The 23423-nt window shown below is 45.2% G+C and overlaps 1 protein-coding gene across 6 annotated transcripts in view, besides 2 other annotated features; it reads right to left on the reverse strand.

The window, feature by feature from the left end:
- Positions 1-5988: 5988 nt before the first annotated feature.
- Positions 5989-23423, reverse strand: part of PBLD (phenazine biosynthesis like protein domain containing) — a 50269-nt gene continuing 32834 nt past the window's right edge. For 2 of the 6 annotated variants that reach the window (XM_017016513.2, XM_011540060.4), the window contains exons 3-10: positions 20215-20314; positions 19595-19693; positions 15458-15567; positions 15339-15368; positions 12260-12348; positions 11812-11990; positions 8677-8714; positions 5989-7618 (exon numbers count right to left, since the gene is read on the reverse strand). In XM_017016513.2, coding sequence (XP_016872002.1) covers positions 7526-7618; positions 8677-8714; positions 11812-11990; positions 12260-12348; positions 15339-15368; positions 15458-15567; positions 19595-19693; positions 20215-20314 — 738 coding nt within the window. In that variant the 3' untranslated portion in view covers positions 5989-7525. Of the gene's footprint in view, positions 7619-8409; positions 8740-11811; positions 11991-12259; positions 12407-15338; positions 15369-15457; positions 15568-19594; positions 19694-20214; positions 20315-23423 lie in introns of those variants that run through there. The other 4 variants (NM_022129.4, XM_005270028.5, NM_001033083.2 and 1 more) reach the window with 3 other exon arrangements.
- Positions 16764-16933: an enhancer, noted in NCBI's record as "experimental_16457 CRE fragment used in MPRA reporter constructs". NCBI's record gives its function as "activates a minimal promoter by MPRAs in K562 erythroleukemia cells, with activity observed for the non-introgressed 10:70053277 variant allele {active_cell/tissue: K562}" and the evidence as "EXISTENCE:reporter gene assay evidence [ECO:0000049][PMID:34662402]".
- Positions 19810-19979: an enhancer, noted in NCBI's record as "experimental_16478 CRE fragment used in MPRA reporter constructs". NCBI's record gives its function as "activates a minimal promoter by MPRAs in K562 erythroleukemia cells, with activity observed for both the introgressed and non-introgressed 10:70056323 variant alleles {active_cell/tissue: K562}" and the evidence as "EXISTENCE:reporter gene assay evidence [ECO:0000049][PMID:34662402]".

The following is a 23423-nucleotide window of genomic DNA, read 5'->3' on the forward strand; positions in this document are numbered from 1 at the left end:
TGGGATGCCAACTTTACTGGGAGCACTCTTTTCAACCAATAGCAACATTAAACTTGAAAGCAGTGATATGGTTTGGCTGTGTCCCCACCCAAATCTCATCTTGAATTGTAGCTCCCATAATTCCCACAACTTGCGTGAGGGACCTGGTGGGAGATAATTGAATCATGGGGGCGGTTTCCCCCATACTGTTCTCATGATAGTGAATAAGTCTCATGAGATCTGCTGGTTTTATAAGGGGTTTCTCCTTTTGCTTGGCTCTCATTCACTCTTGCCTGCCACCATGTAAGACATGCCTTTCACCTTCTGCCATAATTGTGAGGCCTCCCCAGCCATATGGAACTGAGTCCATTAAACCTCTTTTTCTTTATAAATTATCCAGTCTCAGGTATGCCTTTATCAGCAGCATGAAAATGGACTAATACAGTAAATTGGTACTGGGAGTGGGGCACTGCTGTAAAGATACCCAATAATGTGGAAGCAACTTTGAAACTGGGTAACAGGCAGAGGTTGGAACAGTTTGGAGGGCTCAAAAGAAGATAGGAAAATGTGGAAAGTTTGGAACTTCCTACAGATTTGTTGAACAGCTTTGACCAAAATGCTGATAATGATATGGACAATGAAATCCAGGCTGAGGTGGTCTCAGATGGGAATGAGGAACTTGTTGGGAACTGGAGTAAAGGTGACTCTTGCTATATTTTAGCAAAGAGAATGGCAGCATTTTGCCCCTGCCCTAGAGATCTATGGAACTTTTAACTTGAAGGAGATGATTTAGAGTATCTGGCCAAAACAATTTCTAAGCAGCAAAGCATTCAAGATGTGACTTGGGTGCTGTTAAAAGCATTCAGTTTTAAAAGGGAAACAAAGCATAAAAGTTCAAAAAATTTGCAGTCTGAGGATGCGATAGAAAAGAAAAACCCATTTTCTGAGGAGAAATTCAAGCCAGCTGCAGAAATTTGCATAAATAACAAGTAGACAAATGTTTATCACCAACACAATGGGAAAAATGCCTCCAGGGCATGTCAGAGATCTTTGTGGCAGCCCCTCCCACTATAGGCCCAAAGTCCTAGGAAAAAAAATGGTTTTGTGGGCCAGGTCCAGGACCCTCCTGCTGTGTGCAACCTAGGGACTTGGTGCCCCACATCCCAGCTGCTCTAGCCATGGCTAAAAGGGGCCAAGGTATAGCTCAGGCCATTGCTTCAGAGTGTGCAAGTCCCAAGCCTTGGCAGCTTCCACATGGTGTTGAGCCTGCGGGAGCACAGAAGTCAAGAACTGAGGTTTGGGAACCTCTGCCTAGATTTCAGAGGATGTATGGAAATGCCTGGTTGTCCAGGCAGAAGTGTGCTGCAGGGATGGAGCCCTCATGGAGAACCTCTGCTAAGGCAGTGCGGAAGGGAAATGTGGGGTGCAAGCCCCCACAAAGAGTCCCCACTGGGGCACTGCCTAGTGGAGCTATGAGAGGAGGGCCACTGTCCTCCAGACCCCATAATGGTAGATCAACCAACAGCTTGCACCATGCACCTGGAAAATCCACAAACACTCAACATCAGCCTGTGAAAGCAGCCATAAGGGGGGCTATACCCTGCAAAGCCACAGGGGTAGAGCTGCCCAAGGCTGTGGAAGCCCATCTGTTGCATCAGCGTGGCCTGGATTGAGACATGGAGTCAAAAGATATCATTTTGGAGCTTTAAGATTTGACTGCCCCAGTGGATTTCAGATTTGCATGGGGCCTGTATGTAACCACTTTGTTTTGGCCAATTTCTCCCATTTGGAACAGTTGTATTCACCCAATGCCTGCACCTCCATCGTATGTAGGAAGTAACTAACTTGCTTTTGATTTTACAGGCTCATAAGTGGAAGGGACTTGACTTGTCTCAGATGAGACTTTGGACTGTGGACTTTTGAGTTAATGCTGAAATGAGTTAAAACTTTGGGAGATTGTTGGGAAGGCATGATTGGTTTTGAAATGTGAAAACATAAGATTTGGGAGGGACCAAGAAGGGAATTATATGGTTTGCCTGTGTCCCCACCCAAATCTCACCTTGAATTGTAGCTCCCATAATTCCCACATGTTATAGGAGGAACCTGGTGGTGGGAGATAATTGAATCATGGGGGCAGTTTCCCCCATACTGTTCTTGTGGTATTGAATAAGTCTTACAAGATCTGCTGGTTTTATAAGGGGTTTCTCCCTTTTGCTTGGCTCTCATTCTCTCTTGCCTGCCACCACGTAAGACATGCCTTTCACCTTCGCCATGATCATGAGGCCTCCCCAGCCATGTGAAACTGTGAGTCCACTAAACTCTTTTTCTTTATAAATTACCTAGTCTCGGCGCACGCAGCTCGCGCCCAGCGCTCTCCAGCCGGGGTGGTGGCGGCAGCAGCGGCGGCGGGGGAGGGGTGCGGCGGGGGAGGGGTGCGGCGGAAGAGGGGAGGAGGCCTGGCCCCGCGGTCGCAGCCGCCACCGCCCACCCCGACCTCCCGGACCGCCGCGGGGCCATGGGCCTGAGCCCCGGATTCGCGCTCCGGATTCGCCTCGGCTCGGCCGCGCGTATATTTGCCTTCCCTCCATGATCTCCAACACTATCCAATAAAGTAGAAGCAACTGAGGTACCATGAAAGAGAAAGAAGCTGGAACTGAGGAAAAGCAGAGGCTGGAGTGCAGTGGCGTGATCTTGGCTCACTACAACCTCCATCTCCCAGCCGCCTGCCTTGGCCTCCCAAAGTGCCGAGATTGCAGCCCCTGCCCGGCCGCCACCCCGTCTGGAAAGAAGTGAGGAGCATCTCTGCCCGGCCGCCCATCGTCTGAGATGTGGGGTGCACCTCTGCCCCGCCACCCCGTCTGGGATGTGAGGAGCGCCTCTGCCCGGCTGCGACCCCGTCTGGGAGGTGAGGAGCGTCTCTGCCCGGCCGCCCTGTCTGAGAAGTGAGGAGCCCCTCCGGCCGGCAGCCACCCCGTCTGGGAAGTGAGGAGCGTCTCCGCCCGGCAGCCGCCCCGTCCGGGAGGGAGGTGGGGGGACAGCCCCCGCCCGGCCAGCCGCCCCGTCCGGGAGGGAGGTGGGGGGTGCCTCTGCCCGGCCGCCACCCCGTCTGGGAGGTGTACCCAACAGCTCATTGAGAACGGGCCATGATGACGATGGCAGTTTTGTTGAATAGAAAAGGGGGAAATGTGGGGAAAAGATAGAGAAATCAGATTGATGCTGTGTCTGTGTAGAAAGAAGTAGACATAGGGGACTCCATTTTGTTCTGTACTAAGAAAAATTCTTCTGCCTTGGGATGCTGTTATCTATGACCTTACCCCCAACCCGGTGCTCTCTGAAACATGTGCTGTGTCCACTTAGGGTTAAATGGATTAAGGGCGGTGCAAGATGTGCTTTGTTAAACAGATGCTTGAAGGCAGCATGCTCGTTAAGAGTCATCACCACTCCTTAATCTCAAGTACCCAGGGACACAAACACTGTGGAAGGCCCCAGGGTCCTCTGCCTAGGAAAACCAGAGAGCTTTGTTTACTTGTTTATCTGCTGATCTTCCCTCCACTATTGTCCTATGACCCTGCCAAATCCCCCTCTGCGAGAAACACCCAAGAATGATCAATAAATAAATAAATAAGAAAAAATAAATAAATAAATAAATTACCTAGTCTCAGGTATGTCTTTATCAGCAGCGTGAAAATGGACTAATACAAGCAGAAACATAGCTCCCTCTGCACTCACCTCTGGCCATTCTCAGTAAGATCAGGTAGGCAAGAGGTGGGCAGAGGTGGAAGAGGCAGGAACAAACCTATCTGGAAGTAGGGCTCTCAAACCTGCCCTGCTCATATCAGCAGATAACTCACTGTACAGCGTATACCCTAGAGGCTCTTTGCTCTTGCTACCCAGAGATGTCACTTTTTATATTTGTATAAAAACATGAAAAGCTGGCCAGGCACAGTGGCTCATGCCTGTAATGCCAATGATTTGGGAGGCCAAGGCAGGAGGATCACTTGAAGCCAAGAGTTCAAGACCACCCTGGGCAACATAACAGGACCCTGTCTCTACAAAAAATTCAAAAATTAGCTGGGCATGGAGGCACATGCCTGTAGTCCTAGCTACTCAGGAGGCTGGGGTGGGAGGATCACTTGAGCCCAGGAGTTTGAGGCTGCGATGAGCTATGATCACCCCACTGCACTCCAGCCTGGGCAACAAGCAAGGGCAAAAGAGCAAGACCTTTTCTCTTAAAAACAAAGAAACAAACAAACATTAAAAAGCTGCATAGTGACAAAGAAGCCAAAATAAGAAGAGTCAGCAAAATGGCAAAATGGACTTAAATTGTAGACGTCATCAAGACATGATAAGCTTCCCCACTTGGTGAATTAAAATCCCATCATACTGTATTTAATTTAGTAGAATTTGACTACACATGCACAGTCAAGACCAAATGTGATTTTACTGTTTATTTATTTATTTTTAGACAGTCTCGCTCTGTCGCCCAGGCTGGAGTGCAGGGTGCAATCTTGGCTCGCTAAAACTTCTGCCTCCTGGGTTCAAGTGATTCTCCTGCCTCAGCCTCCTGAGTAGCTGGGATTACAGGCACCTGCCACCGCACCCAGCTAATTTTTGTATTTTTAATAGAGATGGGGTTTCACCATGTTAGCCAGGCTGGTCTCAAACTCCTGACCTCAAGTGATCCACCCACCTTGGCCTCTCAAAATGCTAGGATTACAGGCATGAGCCACCACGCCTGGCCTTAGTGTTTAAATATGTTTATTTTTATATAAATGTAGGCATATTTATATAAAGATAAATAGATGTTTTGTTTATTCAGGTGTGCTTGTCCTGTCCCAGTCCCTGCTTCTCTGGTGGCTACTTCCCACACACATGTGCACTGCAGCCCCTGAGTCCATTTTCAGCAGGCTGAGGAAACACAGTAAACATAATCAGTGTTCTTACATAAACAGCCTATGTATGGAAAAAAACATAATCAGTATTCTGACTATTTGGACTCAACTATCCATTGGACAATTTCAAACAAAAATCACACAAGTGAATATGTGGTTTGAAAATATAGGATGAGGCCAGGCGCGGTGGCTCACGCCTGTAATCCCAGCACTTTGGGAGGCCGAGGTAGGCGGATCACGAGGTCAGGAGATCGAGACCATCCCGGCTAGCACGGTGGAACCCCGTCTCTACTAAAAATACAAATAATTAGCCGGGCGTGGTGGCGGGCACCTGTAGTCCCAGCTACTCGGGAGGCTGAGGCAGGAGAATGGCATGAACCTGGGAGGTGGAGCTTGCAGTGAGCCGAGATCGCACCACTGCACTCCAGCCTGGACGACAGAGCGAGACTCCATCTCAAAAAAAAAAAATATATATATATATATAGGATGAAAAGTCAAGTCAGGTGCTACAAATAACAACTTTCATGTGAAAAGGAATCCAGAGTTATGTCAGAGACTTCTTTCCCAAAAATATCTATTAAGAATATAGCACCACCAGGCACAGTGGCTCACGCCTATAGTCCTAGCACTTTGGGAGGCCACAACAGGTGGATCACTTGAGGCCAGGAGTTTGAGACCAGCCTGGCCAACATGGTGAAATCCCATCTCTACTAAAAATACAAAAATTAGCCAGGCATGGTGGTGAGCACCTGTAATCCCAGCTACTTTGGAGGCTGTGTCATGAGAATCATTTGAACCTGGAAGGCGGAGGTTGCAGTGAGCCAAGATGGCACCAGCCTGGGCGACAGAGCAAGACTCTGTCTCAAAAAAAAAAAAGAATTTAGCATACATTTGAAAGATCAGATTCAGATCTGATCAAATTCAGGCCCTCTCAACTGTACATTTATATAAACTTATTCATATAGTTCAGTCTCAGGTTTGGAAAATCCAAAATTGGGGGAAAACCCTCTGGTGATTCTCGCCCTTGGTATCATGACCCGTGGGTGTGTTGTGATGAGTTGTGAGGTCTTCTGGGGGGCGGTGGGGCACTGGTTACTCAGTAAGTTAAGGCATTAAAGCTGGTGAATTATTGATTTATTGCACATCAGGAGAAACACAAGATTACTGCTATAATAAATTCACTCTTACATGCTTTAGCAAAAATCAGTAAAAATAGAAAACATGGTAACAATTAAAGTGAAAAAATTGGGGTCATTAAAGAATGTCTGACTGATTAGCTTGCAGTTTTTGAGACGGCTGAGAACTACCATCAATGAGATCACCTTAAACAAACACTCTTAATGACTTGAAAAAGTCCCCATCCCAAAGTCAACTATAGGTATTCAATATTGTATATTTAACTGAATTTAAAGTTATGTTAAAACCCATTTTATTGAAGTAAGAGAAGAATTCCTTTTACATTATCATTCTCAAGCCATATATCAAGAAAAAGATTGAAATTACATTCCTTTTTTTTTTTTTAATAGAGACAAGTTCTCGCTGTGTTGCCCAGGCTGGTCTCGAACTCCTAGGTTCAAGTGATCCTCCTGCCTTGTCCTGCCAAAGTGCTGGGATTACAGGCATGAGCCGCCACGCCCAGCTGAGATTACATTACTTTGAGTGTTTAATTTCACTATGACAGGAAGTAGCCTAATACATACTTTTTTGTGTTAATTTTCTGGATTCATCCTGATTTTTAGTCTTCGTACCTGAGTACAACAATAAAGGAAATCACTTCTTAGATACATTAAAATTACTTCTAAACTTGCCCCCCACACATGAACTGTTTTCAGTTTGCTATTTTTAATGGCCCATGCTTATTTATATAGACATAGCATAACACTGCTAACACTTTATGGCCTACTGTCCTCTTTCTTAGTATTATATTATAAAATATTTTTCTATATTTCCACATAGTTATTGACTCATTTTAATGGCTGCAAAATCAGGTACTCATTTAAGCTCAAATGGTTTAGTATCACTCCTCAGAAATGTATTCCTCCTTCTCTTGATTGGTAGTCATAATCAAATGAAGTGACATTATTCTTTGTAGCTGGTTACTTACATTTCAAATACACTCATGAGTGGAGCCAAAACTCCATTAGTTCATTAGTCTGGAAGCACTATTAAATCTCCATTAAAATGTCTTCACTTTTCAATTTTGTGTGTGTGTGTGTGTGTGTGGATGGAGTCTTACTCTGTTGCCCAGGCTGGAGTGCAGTGGTGTGATCTCTGCTCACTGCAACTTCTGCCTCCTGGGTTCAAGCGATTCTCCATGCCTCAGCCTCCCAAGTAGCTGGAATTACAGGCATGTGGCACCACACCCAGCTAATTTTTGTATTTGTAGTAGAGACGAGGTTTCACCATGTTGGCCAGGCTGGTGTCGAACCCCTGACCTCAGGTGATCCACCCACCTTGGCCTCTCAAAGTGCTACGATTACAGGCATGAGCCACTGCGCCTGGCCCATTTTTCGATTTTTAACATGAGGATTAAGTAGACTACTACGCACATTTGCTAAAGGCAGCCCCTTACATTTCTTTTTAAGCAGAAAATACTTGGTGGTTAGAGACAGCAGCGTCACAGCATAACCACCTCTAGGCTGTCAGTGTGCCCTCTAAAACAACAGCTGCACCTCCTCTAATGTCAACCCTTCCGTCTGGACGAAGGGAAATTCCCAGCTCTCCTCCTCGGTGGGAACACTGAAAAGCTAAAGAAAACAAACAGGTCAAATTAAGAGTATTTTCACCCTTTTAAATTAACAAAGCATAGTGAAAGACTTATTACAAATCTTAGAGTCCTCCCAGATCAGTTTCAAGAATAAATTCCTTCGTCTGTTTATGGTACTGCCCACTCCCATCCCCATTCTCCTGCAGACTGAGAAAGCCACAAACTCAATTTGATCTACAGAACACACAGCTCCACATACTCCCTTCCTGAGCCTTTTCCTGGGCCATCTCCTTCACTAATTCCTGTAATGGCCCAGACACACCCCACTCATCGCTTCTTCCCCTGCTCTCTCTAGGAGTAAGCAAAGATGTTTGAAACAATAGAGGCAGGCCTATAACTCTAGGAAGATGAAGAAGGGTGGTCTCAGCCCTCTTGAGAAGGCCCCCATCTTCTCAGCTCTGAATAGGACAGAGGGAGTTCATTCACTCATAACATATTCAAGCAACCACGTGTTCCAGGCAGACAAAAGAGGCATAGCCTCAGCCTTCCAGGAGCTCAGTACTTAGGAGAATAATTAGACTCGCCAAGGAAAATGAATAGCCACCTTGCTCTCTCCAAATCAGGGTCACAGACTCCTCCTTGGATGATCAGGGCAGTGCAGCCTCCATTGGCTGCCATCATTTTTCTCTGCCTCTAAGCAATACATTAATCACTAGGGGACTTGGTTCCAAAGTAATTTGTTTGATTCAATCCTGTGACTAGCAATAGCAGTAAGGAACCTTGGTCATCATCCAGTCTCAACCCATCACATTATAAATAACCTCTCTGGGCCAAAGTTATACAGCTATTTTATTCAACAAACACTTATTGGGCAGTTACTGTATCTGTGTCTGTACAGTCTCTGTATGTTGGGGGAGGCAGAGGTGAAGGCTGTTTGGGGTGGAGGATCTTTAAGGGTGAAGGAATTTTAAAACCTTTCATTTTCACATGGGTGATACATGACATTGTATTACATTTTCAAGGGGATAGTACATATGAGAAGGAACACTAGCTTCGAATTAGGCAAATAAAAAAGAAATTGGTAAAGAGCTGTCCTACCATGCATTTCTTTCTTCCCCAGATGCTGGGACCAGTAGCTGCTGAGAACAGCGTGTGCAGACCCTCAAAAGAAGTGAAAAGTTAGGAGACAATCCCCAAGAAAACAGAGGCGATTTTGTGGTAAATTTCTAAGCAATTACAATCAATTATCCAGTTTGAATAAACTCTAGATCACCTAAATCATTATGTTGGCCAGGCCACAGCAGGGTGTAGAATTATGAAAGGAGATAAAAAGGAAGACATAGAATTTATGGATAAACTCGGCCAAATTATGTATCAAATATGTCTTACACTTTCTTTTCTTTCCTTTTTTCTTTTTATTTTATTTTATTTTTATTTTTATTTTTTTGAGACACAGTCTTGCTCTGTTGTCCAGCTGGGAGTGCAGTGACACAATCATGGCTCACTGCAGTCTTGACATCCCGTTCTCAAGCCATCCTCCTACCTCAGCCCCCCGCAAGTAGCTGGAACTACAGGTGCATGTCACCATGCCTGGCTAATTTTTGTATTTTTTGTAGAGATGGGGTTTCACCATGTTGCCCAGCCTGGTCTCGAACTCCTGATCTCAAGAGATCCACCTGCCTCAGCCTCCCAAAGTGCTGGGATTACAGGTATGAGCCACGGTGACTGGTCCTTACAGTCTCCTAAGGCTGAATTAGACTGCAGGTTTTAATTCTTGTCTTGTCTACCAGCTCATTCTTAGCCCTTGGTAGGAGAATCAAGGCCTTTGAATAATTCTTTTTTTTTTTTTTTTTTTTGAGACGGAGTCTCGCTCTGTCGCCCAGGCTGGAGTGCAGTGGCACAATCTCGGCTCACTACAACCTCTGCCTCCCGGGTTAAAGTGATTCTCCTGTCTCAGCCTCCTGAGTAGCTGGGATTACAGGCATGAGCCACCAGGCCCAGCTAATTTTTGTATTTTTAGTGTAGACAGGGTTTTACTATGTTGGCCAGGCTGGTCTTGAACTCCTGACTTCAAGTGATGCACCCATTTCAGCCTCTCAAAGGGCTGGGATTACAGGCATGAGCCACTGCGCCCAGCCTTGCATAAGTCTTTCTACATCTTTCCAGGGAAAGTATCTCCTTCTTCCCAGAGTGCATATGCAAAGAAAGGTGGAAACTCTGAAAAAAGGCTAAATTTTCTTTTCTTTTAACTATTATTTTTAAATTTTTCTGTAGAGACGTGGTCTCCCTATGTTGCTTAGGCTGGTCTGAAACTCCTGGCCTCATGCAACCCTCCCACCTCGGTCTCCCAAAGTGCTGGGATTATAGGCATGAGCCACTGCACCTGGCCAAAAGGCAAACTCTTCCACCAAGCTAACATTCCTGAGCTTTTGGCACCAAAAGAACTTCTTTTTTAGTGAGGTATTTTTTCACGTTTGTACTCTAGATTTAGATCAGAGATTGGATTTTAAAATGAAATAACAAAATATACAGCAATAACTGACAGAAAAATATTTTGCGAAGAAAAAGATGGGGAGGAAAAGCCTCTCGTTTGGGAAAACCTATGAAGTGTTATGGGGTGGGCGTCCCAGCACTTTGGGAGGCCGAGGCAGGTGGATCACCTGAGGCTAGGAGTTCAAGACCAGCCTGGCCAACATGGCAAAACCCTGTCTCTACTTAAAATACAAAAAATTAGCCTGGCATGGTGGCAGTTGCCTGTAATCCCAGCTACTCGGAAGGCTGAGGCAGGAGAATCTCTTGAACTTGGGAGATAGAGGTTGCAGGGAGCTGAGAACGTGCCATTGCACTCCAGCCTGGGCAAAAAAAAAAAAAAAAAAGTGTTATGGGATGTTCAAGTAAGGCAACCAACCATCCTGCCTGGTTTGCCTGAGACTGTTCTGGTTTTAGCACTGAAAGTTCTGAGCCCTGAGAAACCCTTCAGTCCCAAGCAAACTCAGATGTTGGTTATCAAAGTCCAAAGGCCTTTATACTCTAGAAAAGCATTACGGGGAAAAACAAACAAACAAACAAACAAACAAACTTGCACTCTGTGCCAATTAAAATCTTTGTGAAGCAGCTGTGCTTGTGCAATCTGCTTGGAACTTTTCTTCCATGGGGAAGCTGCACTCTGGATATGGTTGGGCATTTTCCTGAGTCTTAAAAGTGCTTGTTTGCTGAGTTTTGAATTTCACGTGTTTTGTTACTCAGAGAGTAACTGAGCCATCCAGGCCCTGCCATCTGACCAGAACAGGAGCCCTGAAGGGTCTGCCCAGCCTCCTGTGGCCCCTTCACCATCCCACCCACCATCCTCCCACATCAAGCATTCTCGTCCTTTGCAGTGCAGCCCACTGTTCCCAAAGAGAGGGAGAGTAGGAGTCATGACATTTCTGCCCACCTTTGACTCATCCCTCTGCTCCCAGGTGGTGGACAATCTAGAAGTGTTGGCTCAAGGAGCTAGTTTTGTTGTTATTATTAAAATAGCTAGTAGTTAGCTAGGCGCAGTGGCTCATGCCTGTAATCCCAGCACTTTGGGAGGCCGAGGAGGGATCATTTGAGGTCAGGAGTTTGGGACCATCCTGGCCAACATGATGAAATCCTATCTCTAGTAAAAATACAAAAATTAGCCGGGTGTAGTGGCAGACGCCTGTAGTTCCAGCTACTGGGGAGGCCAAGGCAGGAGAATCACTTGAACCTGGGAGGCTGAGGTTGCAGTGAGCCGGGATCATGCCACTCCGTTCTAGCCTGGGTGATGAAGTGAGACTATGTCTCAAAAAGATATAATAATACAATATAATAGCTAGTAGTTATTGGGCACTTACTAGGTGCCAGGCACTGTATTAAGCCCTTAACATGCATTGTGCTTTTATAGCCCTATGAGGTATTATATACAATTTATAGAGGAGGGAACTGAGACTTTTAAAAGTCAAGTCACTTGCCCAAGGTCAAAAGCTAGGAAGCTAGGAATGTAAACCCAGGCTGTCTGACACTCAGGTTTAACCCTGTTATCCACCTGCTCTATTTTATGTTTTTCATGGAAGACTTCAGTGAAGGGATGGCAGGGATGGGGAAAGATAGAGGAACAAGGCAGCTCAAAACTCAAGCCACCTGAAAGGTCACAGGAAGTGCACTTAAATAACTATTTGTGATCCTCCTCTTCCATTGTTTAACCCTCCCCTGGGCTCAAGTAAAAAGTACCTGTCACTGGGTCTTCAGCCACACCAACCCACGGTGCAAAATATCTTGAGTAAAAGTCAAATGCTTGGGTCTGCCCACCAGGCTCTCCTTTAAGGGTAAGAATAAGCCCTTTCACCTTCCCTGTGTTTTCAACTTGCAGCAGATTCTCCGTGTTCACTTTCAGGTTCTCCAGAAACGACCTTGTTCATAAACAAGATGGATTAGGACAAACCCATTTCACAGCCCACTCACCACACAGACTCTGTGAAGCAGGCCAGGGTGCAGCTTGCTCAAAGAGCTTAACAGGAGGGGAAGGAAGAACAAGTGGGAATGTCTTCCTATCAGGGAAAGAAACACTCTGGCTGCGTAAATCATGGTTTGACTGGACACAGCACAGCCAGACTAAGGAAGAGCTATAAATCTGGGTACTCAGCCCTCCCCAAAGTGCTGATGCAGCCAAAAATCTTACCTGTTGTAAACGTCACTGAGGCGGACGAGGAGCTTTTGGGTATCTGGAGAATAACAGATGTCCTGGACCAGTGTGTTGCCTATGGCAGTCTGTGGAGACAGACCAAAAACTCCTCAGGGACATGCCCTGGGCCAAGTCCTTGATCCCCTGAAATGGGAAATGACCTCTCATTGAGCATCCACTGTGAGCCAAGCATGCCCATCGTCTCCAGTCCCCAAGAGTGTTAGTGCAGTTTCAGAGCTTAAGGTGTTGCCCAAGGATGGTCAGTCTCCTGGCTACCAAAGAGGCCTCTGTGAGCCTCAAAACAGGCATTGTGGCCAGGTGCAGTGGCTCACACCTGTAATCCCAGCACTTTGGGAGGCTGAGGTAGGTGGATCACCTGAGGTCAGGAGCTCGAGACCAGGCTGGCCAGCATGGCAAAACCCCATCTCTACTAAAATACAAAAATTAGTCGGGCATGGTGGTGCACTCCTGTAATCTCAGCTACTCGGGAGGCTGAGGCAAGAGAATCACTTGAACCTGGTGAACCAAGAATCACTTGTGAGCCAAGAATCACTTGGCCGAGATCGCACCACTGCACTCCAGCCTGAGAGACAGAATGAGACTCTGTCTCAAAAAAGAAAAAAAACATAGGCATTCTCACAAGTGCCTACTATGTGCCTCAATGCACAACTCCTTCAAGTAGGTATTCTCCCCACAGAGAAGGAGAAAGAGACTTAGAAAGGCCAAAGATCACACACACACACACACACACACACACACATATCTTGACCCAGGTCTGAGAAGGTCAGAGAAAAAGCTCTAAATCCCTACTGTCCATCATCTTTAGAGATGGAGGGGCCTCATGTCCACCTCTTAGAGCTGTGAGGATTAAATAAAATCGTATATGTGGAGTATCTGCAGCAGCAATTAGAACGTTCCACACGGCAAGCACTCAGGGCTAGCAGCTTGATTGGAAGGAGGGACTAGAGGGCTCGTCCTGTGCTGCTCTGCTTGGCAAGCACACCACTTTCACTCAGATTGTATGTGACAGATCAATAACATAACATGTTCTCAAGATACCCTGGTTCACTCTACCTGACTGCACATAATCTTGCTGAAATCCAGGAACATCATTTGTTTGTATGTTTGTTTGAGGGTGGCTTGGGGCAGAGGGGGATTATGAGGAGACAACCCCTTCCCACACCACCAAGTCATCCTTTGGCACCAGCCCCAGCTGCCAGGCCCAGCAGATGGTAATTACATGGTAATTGTATGGCAGTCACTAGGTGGCTTCAGGTTCTCTAATCCTTGTTAGAGGCCAAGATACTCCAGTTCCCACATCCAGAATTCCTTCTGCCTTGGGTGGTACTTGGGCTTTCTGCCTCTGTGACTATGGGCTGACCAATGTAACTTCCTCAAGAAATGGGAACTCCTACAGCCGGATCCCATCTGTTCTCCAGAGCCTTAGTCTCTCGAACCCAGCCCTTATCTGCATGAGTTTGTACATTGATTTAAAAGTTCAGGGGTGGGCGCGGTGGCTCACACCTGTAATCCCAGCTCTTTGGGAGGCCGAGGCAGGCGGATCACCTGAGCTCAGGAGTTCGAGACCAGCCTGACCAACATGGAGACACCCCGTCTCCACTAAAAATACAAAATTAGCCAGGCATGGTGGCGCATGCCTGTAATCTCAGCTACTTGCGAGGCTGAGGCAGGAGAATTGCTAGAACCCAGGAGGTGAAGGTTGTGGTGAGCCAAGATCACACCATTGCACTCCAACCTGGGCAACAAGAGCAAACTCCGTCTCAAATAAAAAAAAAGGTTTAATTCTTGGCTGGGAATCTTACTGCCAGTTTCTAGGGAAGAACACAAAATGGCAATACTTACAACCCTTTGTTATCCCATTTAATAAATGCTGACCCTGAGACTAAGTTGAGTTCTTTCTACCATGAACAAGGTCTACCATTATAAGTTTTTTCCACTTTCTTACCAGTATGTTTAAAGCAGTTTGTTTTTAAATTTGGCTTGTCTCCAAAACCCAAGCCATGGATGGGGTTGAGTATAAAATCAGAATCCATCATGCTTATTTGTTTATATTCTTTGAAAACACAGATAAAGCCAAATACTAGAGACTACAAATGCTGTAGTTAAAAATTCACTGAGAAATACCCAAGTAGTACTCACAATAGACTAAGCTACAGAATCATTTTTCTCATGACAGCCCTTGCCCTGGTCCTGACCTGGGCCCTCTCTTCTCTACACACCAAGCCCCTGGTCATCCAGGGCTGCTCTGGCCCTGCAGAACCTTCATGGGACAACTGCAGTGCCTACCTTACTGAGAAACATTGAGAATTAAATGGACAATGCAAGTGAAATGCTCAGCATGTGGCACTGCACACAGAGAGACTCTCAAAATGTTTCATCATCATTAATATTATTAAGCCCCATGCCCACACAGACCCCATGAGGAGCCCATGTTCTGTATCTTGTCTTATCTGCAAGGTACTCATGCTTTCTTGGTTTCCTCTATCAAAGCACAGCCCTCCCCCACCTCAGTCCCATCCTTTACTACAGAAACTGGGGACACTGACAGCTGCCAGGAAGGTTCCATTTTTTCCCTCCATCTTGTGTGTATGGATTTTATGGAATGACCTCTTTCTGCCAGAAATTCCCAACTTTCACACCTGAACTTGCACAGCCATGCTCGGGGCCCATTCCTCTCCTTCTAGCTAGAGAAGCACAGAAATTCAACATCCCTTAATTTCCCTAAAGGCTGGTCTCCTCCCAGAAACTTACATTTCCTTAAGACATCCTATTCTCCCTCTTCTTTACCACCTCCATTGGTTCTTTTGTGCCTTTCAGCCTGTCATATAACAGTGTCTCTTCCCTCCATCCTACCATGGGGGCCAGCAGTGACAATCAGGAGCCAAGGAAAACTGGTCAACCTTCTCACCAAATAGACTGAATATTAAAATTCAAACCTGAAACACTGTAACATTTATATTGGTAAAATGCCTATCTTTGTGGATCAAATGATACCAAATCTTTGTGTGCAAACAATAACAAATAACTAGGCTCAGGTTTGATTCTTTTTACCAACCTTTATCAAGTCCTCTACTTCATGGAAGTCCTAGATGGGGGGAAAAAAAACAAAATTATTATAAAACAGGAGAGCTGTCGGTTGTAGATGGCTTAGGGCAATAATTACAAAGAGCTGACCTGGGGGTGGGCTGGATAAAGAGGCAAGTCCAGGACGATGCCATCCTCTGCTCGTCTGGCCCTTAGTTCTCCACTCAGAGTGACAAACGTGAGCGTGCTATTCATGTTTTCTGGCCAAAATAGGAATCAAGAAATAGGAAATAAACTTTGTCATATATGCGCATGTCCATTTCAAACACCTTTGCATTGTCTTAGATTTTCTGGCACTGTCATCCTTTTCTATGATGGAGCGAGGTTTGGGTTGCTGAGGTCTAGAATGGAGAAAACTCTCACTAGATTCTAACTTGAGAACCAAGAACATAACTGATCAGATGTGGCGTCATACTTCAAGGCTTCAGATCCCAGCTCTTTACTGCTTACTGTGCCCTTACTAACTTAGCCTCCTTTTTTTTTTTTCTTGAGACATGGTCTCACTGTGTTGCCCAGGCTGGAGTGCAGTGGCACGATCTCAGCTCACTGTACCCTCTGCCTCCCACATTCAAGTGATTCTCCCACCTCAGCCTCCCAAGAAGCTGGAATTACAGGTGTGCACCATCACATCCAGCTAATTTTTGTATTTTTAGTAGAGACGAGGTTTTATCATGTTGGTCAGGCTGGTCTCAAACTCCTGACCTCAAGTGATACACCCACCTCGGCCTCCCAAAATGCTGGGATTACAGGCGTGAGCCACCACACCTGGCCAGCCTCCTTAAATCTCAGTTTCCTCATCTATAAAATGAGGTTAATACATTAAACCTACCATTTATAATGTTTTCTCTTTCTTTGAGGAACTGTCTCACTCTGTTGACCAGGCTGGGGACTGGCTCACTGCAGCCTTGACCTCCTGAGCTCAAGCAATCCTCCCACCTCAGCCTCCCCAGTAGCTGGGACTACAGGCATGAGCCATAATGCCTGGATAATTTTTAAATATTTTGTAAAGACAGGGTCTCACTATGTTGCTCAGGCTGGTCTCTAAGTTCTAGACTGAAGCAATCCTCCCGCCTTGGCTCCCAAAGTGTTGGGATTACAGGCATGAACCACTGCACCCAGCCTGTAATGTTTCTAATACAGATTTTAAAATATCCAGCAGCAACAACCATAGAGTCATAACCTCTTCTAGTCTAAGATACGCCAAGGGAATAACAAAACATTTAAGTTGTAAATATCAGTGTTATATGAAATAAATTTGGTTTATCCTAAATGAACCAAACTTTTTACATAACAATGTAATTTAAAGAATGCACCACAAATGTTGGCATCCCATGTTACTGATACAACTTGGGCTACTTATCAGTGTGTATAACATTTTTAGTGAAAACAAAGAATGCTGACCCAATTCTTTTCTCTCCCTTAATATTTCTGTAAAACTTAAACCACATGTCAAAGGTGAAGAACTTTGGCTTGTTAACTTTTATTGAGCATAAAATTGACATTCAGAAACACAAAGCTTAATTTTTCTCATTACGATTTGCATAAGACATTATTTACAAAGCATTTTTTCATACCTTATCTTATCTAACCTGAAGACTGCCCTATGGGGGTTTCCAGGATGTTATTATTCCAAACCTCAGCATCAAACCAACCCACGTGGAGTCCAGTTTTCAAAAGACACTCAATCTTGCTTTGGGAGGCCGAGGCGGGTGGTTCACCCGAAGTCAGGAGTTTGAGACCAGCTTGGCCAACATGGTAAAACCCCATCTCTACTAAAAATACAAAAATTAGCCAGGCGTGGTGGCAGGCACCTGTAATCCCAGCTACTTGGGAGGCTGAGGCAGGAAAATCACTTAAACACAGGAGGCAGAGGTTGCAGTGAGCCAAGATCTTGCCATTGCACTCCAGCCTGGGTGACAAGAGCAAAACTCCATCTCAAAAAAACAAAAACAAAAAAACAAAAGACACTCAATTTAATTTCAGTAAACCCTATTTTTCAAGACTCAATTCCTAAACATTTCGGAATGTTTGCTTGCCTTTTGCACATGTCCCCTATCCACAGATACCAAAATCATCTTTTTAAAATGTATATTGAATTACATTATATGGCTTCTCAACTTTATCTCCTGCCAATCATATAGACAGGCCCCAGGGACTTTGCACTTGTTAGCCTCTGCCTGGGATGCTCCTCCTCTCGCTCTAGCTCATCCCACAGATGCTTCATCTTATCCTTTCGCCCAAAGTTCCCCTTCTCTGGTGGGTGCTGATCCATATTCTATGTCTGACCCATGGCCTCAGGACTGGGACTCCATGAGGCAAGGAAGTACCATAGGGTACAAAATGTAAGGAGACACCTGCTCTCAGCTGCAACCTGGGGCCTTGCTGGCTCTGCCTACACCTGGCCCTGACCCTGCTTGCCCAGAGTGCTAGTGGCCAACAGCTCTCAACTGAGTCACTCTCTTGGAGTTACCTTTGGCTGAGTAGAGCTACCTTGCCCAAAGTCATACATCTTTTCCAGGCTTTGGGAACTGGTCCATGGAGGGTAAAAAGGCCTGAATCTTTGCCTCTACTTGGAACTATACTACTTGAAAAAATGTCCAGCTTTAGAGCTCCCCACGGATTTGGCCTAGGCCTTTCCTTGTTGCTACTACTCTGCAGTTCAATTTCTCCCTCTATTCAATCCTACTTTCTTTTTCTTCTTTTCCTCGAGGTGGAGTCTCGCTCTGTCGCCCAGGCTGGAGTGCAATGGCACAATCTCGGCTCACTGCAACCACGGCCTCCCAGGTTCAAGCGATTCTCCTGCCTTAGCCTCCTGAGTAGCTGGGACTACCGGCGCCCGCCACCATGCTCAGCTAATTTTTGTATTTTTAGTAGAGACGGGGTTTTGCCCATCCCCCACAGTGACATTCTGTCCTATCATCCTGTTTCTTTCCTTGTTTCCATTTCCGTTTGCTGTCTATGCTTGTTTGTGGCTGCTTCCATCTCCTGTTTTAGGGCATTTCCCAGGAATCTCTTCTCTGTCCCATCCCCACAAGGCCCTGATCTTTGTCCATTAAACTAAATGCAGCTAAGATAGAAACTGGCAGAATTAAGGTGCTGCAACTCCTTTTAAGGTGAATGTATACAGTGGGGGCCCAGGAATCTTCAAATTTAGAGCAAAGAAGCTCTTATTGGCCGGGCGTGGTGGCTCATGCCTGTAATCCCAGCACTTTGGGAGGCCAAGGTGGGCAGACCACTTGAGCTCAGGAATTTGAGACCAGCCTGGGCAACATAGCAAAACCCTGTCTCTAACAAAAATACAAAAATTAGCCAGGTGTGGTGGTGTGCACCTGGGGTCTCAGCTACTTTGGAGGTTGAAGTGGGAGGATGGCTTGAGCCCAGGAGTCAGAGGTTGCAGTGAACTGATATCCTGCCTCTGCACTCCAGTCTGGTCAACCGAGCCAGGCCCCATCTCAGAAAAAAAAAAAAAAAATGTTTATTGAAGAATCTCTTATTGTGAAATGAATTTCAATGTGGGAGCGGAAATAATTGGAGTGAAATGTTCCTGTTGATCTCCAATCTCATATCGTATGAGATGACAATTCTGCCCATGCAAGCTTCACAAAGACCAGAGATCTCCAGTTTAAAATGAGGCCAAGCATGGTGCCTCACGCCTATAATCCCAGCACTTTGGGAGGCCGATGCAGATGGATCACTGGAGGCCAGGAGTTTGACACCAGCCTGGCCAACATGGTAAAACCCCATCTCTACTAAAAATACAAAAATTAGCTGGGTGTGGTGGTGGGCGCCTGTAATCCTGCTACTCAGGAGGCTAAGGCAGGAGAATCGCTTGAACCCAGGAGGTGGAGAGAGGCGGAGGTTGCAGTGAGTCAAGATCGTGCCATTGCTCTCCAGCCTGGGCAACACAGTGAGACTCTGTCTCAAAAAATAATAAAATAAAATAAAATGGTTGTCAAATTCTTTGTAGACCAGAAAGTAAAATAAAATAAAAATAAAATAAAATAGCATTCTGATCGCAGCTTTCCAATGATGCTGGGCACATACTCAGAAAGGCCAAAGTGCTATTGAAGGTCGCTGGTTTTGTTTCTGCATTATGAATAGCATGAAGTAAACTCTGCAGAGTCTTTATACCAGTCACTTTGGACCATCAGAAAAAGTGTGTGTGAGAACTTAAAAAAAAAAAAGCCATTTGCTAAGTGTTAGATTCATTAAAGAAAATCACATTACTTATTTTGTGAAACAGCACAGCTGCAGAAGCCAGGGTGGCATGGCCACAGAGTGGGACCTCACTCGCTGGTGTAAACCATCTCAGTCCAAAGCAGGAACCTGAGGATAGGAAAAGCCAAAGAGAGATGAGATCATTCCCATGCAAGCAGGTCACAGATTTCTCATTTTCTTCTTTCCTATATAGTTCTCTAGCATGATGAGTAGCCAAAACATGTTGTAAAAGGAGGAATGATGGCTAGGCAAGCATCCTAGGGCTCCCCAGTGCTAGATCTGGAATGGAAACATTCAGATTCACCAAAACCCCCTTCCCCAAATGAACCGAAACCAAATCAGAATCTCCCGCTCTATCTACTATCTGCATGCAAATAATAAGGGGGCATTTTCCTTAAAGATCATTCCCCCACCTAAAAAATAATTTCTGATGTCATTCAAGAATTATTTTAAAGTGCATATTTAGGCCAGGTGTGGTGGCTCACACCTATAATGCCAGCACTTCGGGAGGCTGAGGCACAATAATTGCTTGAACGCAGGAGGCGGAGGTTGCAGTGAGTCAAGATCATGCCACTGCACTCCAGCCCGTGCGACAGAACAGTTCTTAAAAAAAAAAAATGCATATTTACTTTGTGCAAAGTTGTCTGTCGGGTGCAGTTTTCGGATAAAAGCAGTTTCAGAGAGGTTCATCTCCCTTGCAATTTTCTGATGCATGTCTTCATCCAATTCCTTAATTAGAAACAGACGATCATTGAGGTTTCAAAAACACAGATCAGACTTCCTTTGGACAACAACTACCATTAACTTAAAAAGCAGTTTAGCAATAATAAGAGTTACACGCTTAAAAGGAAATAATTACCAAGGAATTCAAGGCACTTTTATAAAGATTGGTTCTCAGAAACCCATGCTTGCAGTGCCCTGTGAAGAAGGGTTATAAATGTGCAAGCTGGAATAGACTGTGAAAAACTGGCTGGCCTGGCCTGTCTTTTGTCACAGTAAGATCTAGTCTAGCTGACAGAGTGTGCTGTCTTCTAAAAACAATCTCCACACAAGGAAGTACCCCAATCTCCTTTGCTTTGCTGGTGAAAGCGAGGTTCAGCACTCACTCTGGGCAGGCTGGACCACTCCTCCCCTGTCTTTGCATGGTTCACTCTCTTTCATGGGAAGGGCTTCAGGCCAGGGGTCACCTCCTCCAGTAAGCCTTCCCAGACCACTGTGTCTAAAGGTGTTGTCTCCTCTCCAGTGCTTAGATGTCCTGAAATTGCCTGGTGTGCCCTTTACTGTCTGGCCTCGCCACCTCTGATTCTAAGTTCTGTTGGGGTATGGACTGTGCTGTCTTGCTTTGCCGGGACCTGGAACAATGCCTGGTATTCATCCCAGCACAGTAGGAGATCAGTAAACATTTGTTGAAAAAATAAGTACATTATTTCACTTAATCTCATTTTTAAAACCCTCAATGTAAATATTTTTATACCCTTACAAATGAAGAAATTAAACGGAGAGATCATATAATATCCTAAGACCACAATATACCTAATAAACAGTACAGTGATTAAGAATGAGAGCTTAGTTAGGCATGGTGGCTCACGCCTGTAATCCCAGCACTTTGGGAGGCTGAGGCGGGAGGACAGCTTGAGTCCAGGAGTTCAAGACCAGCCTGGGTAACATAGTAAGACTCTGTCTCTGTAAAAAAAGATTTAAATAAAAAAAAAAAGAGTAAGGGCTTTAGCTGGGCATGGTGGCTTATGCCTGTAATCCTAGCATTTTGGGAGGCCAAGGCAGGAAGATTGCTTGAGACCAGGAGTTCAAGACCACCCCCCAGTCTCAATAAAAAATAAAAATAAAAAATTTAGCCAGGCATGGTGGTGCTTGCTTATGGTCCAGACTATACGGGAGGCGGAGGTAGGAGGATCTCTTGAGCCCAGAAGTCAAGGCTGCAGTGAGCCATGATTGTGCCACTGCACTCCAGCCTGGGCGACAGAGCAAGATCCTGTCTCAAAAACAAAAAAGAAAAGAAAAAAGAAAAAGAATGAGGGCTTTGCAAATGTGGACAATAGTAACAACTGGCCAGGCACATGCCTATAATCCCAGCACTTTGGGAGGCTCATGCCTATAATGCCAGCACTTTGGGAGGCCAAGGAGAGTGGATCGCTTGAACCCTGGAGTTGGAGACCAGCCTGTGCAACATAGCGAGAACCTGACTCTAAAAAAATTTTTTTTTACACAGTAACAACTGGTGAATCTAGAGAAAGGGAATATGCATGTTCATCATACCATTCTTGAAACTTTTCTGTAGGTTTTTAATTTTTCAAAATAAAATATTTAGAAAAATTATGTGGGTTTGAAAACAGAATTGAATTTCTATCCTGTGTGAGCTCCTAGCAGCAGTGTAAAAGTGGGCAAGTCATTTAATCTTATGGCCTCAGTTTCCACACCTTTAAGATGGGAATAATAGCACTTAAGTCAAGGTTTATTGTGAAGATATATACATGCATACGAATACACACACACACACACACACACACACACACACACACATTCCTCTTAACTCAAGAAAAAAGTGGACCCAGCTGGGCGTGGTGGCTCACACCTGTAATCCCAGCACCTTAGGAGGCTGAGGCAGGTGGATCACGAGGTCAGGAGTTTGAGACCAGCGTAGCCAATATGGAGAAACTCCATCTCTACTAAAAATACAAAAAAATTAGCCGAGAGTGGTGGCACGCGCCTGTAATCCCAGCTACTCGGGAAACTGAGGCAGGCGAGTTGCTTGAACCTGGGAGGCAGAGGTGGCAGTGAGCCAAGATCGCGCCACTGCACTCCAGCCTGGGTGACAGAGTGAGAGTCCGTCTCAAAAAAAAAAAAAAAAAAAAAAGTGGACCCGAAGTATGTTTTCCTTTTGAGAAGAAAAATCCATTTTTAATCAATAAAATGCTTACTAGTTAGATTTTGAATTTTAAAGAAGTTTCAAGAAAACACATTTTTATTTTGGCCAAATTTATTGCTCTTGATCTCCTGAAACTCTTTCTAACGGAAATCTACTAGTTAGATTTTGAATTTTAAAGAAATTTCAAGACAAATGCATTTTTGTTTTGGCCAAATTTATTGCTCTTGATCTCCTGAAACCCAGAAGAATTATAATTTTATATTAATAAATTCATAATTCACTTCTCTGAGTTATCCAAATTAAACACTCTTGTCTTTGATTCAAAATCTTTTGAAACATGTTCCATATAATTATATAGGGCATAAAAGTGTGATTATTGTGAAAAATCAGTCATGATTTTAAAACTACCGGCTGATATAAAAATCTTAGCAGGGGCCAGGTGTGGCAGCTTATGCCTGTAATCCCAGCACTTTAGGAGGGCGAGGCGGGTAGATCACCTGAGGTCAGGAGTTCGAGACCAGCCTGGCCAACATGGCAAAACCCCATCACTACTAAAAATACAAAAATTAGCCAGGAGTGGTGGTGCGCGCCTGTAATCCCAGCTACTCAGGAGGTTGAGCAGTAGTCACTTGAACCCGGGAGGCAGAGGTTGCAGTGAGCCGAGATCATGCCATTGCACTCCAGCCTGGGTGACAGAGCAAGACTCCATCTCAAAAATAAATAAATAAATAAATCATGGCAGGAAACATAATAAGCTTTTTTTTTTTTGAGACAGAGTCTCGCTCTGTCACCCTGGCTAGAGTGCAGTGGCACTGTCTCAGCTCACTGCGATCTATGCCTCTTGGGTTCAAGCGATTCTCTCATCTCAGCCTCCTGAGTACCTGGGACTACAGGTGCAGACCACCATGCCCAGCTAATTTTTTGTATTTTAGTAGAGATGGAGTTTCACCATGT

Source organism: Homo sapiens, chromosome 10, assembly GCF_000001405.40.
Source record: "Homo sapiens chromosome 10, GRCh38.p14 Primary Assembly".
Lineage (NCBI taxonomy): Eukaryota > Metazoa > Chordata > Mammalia > Primates > Hominidae > Homo > Homo sapiens.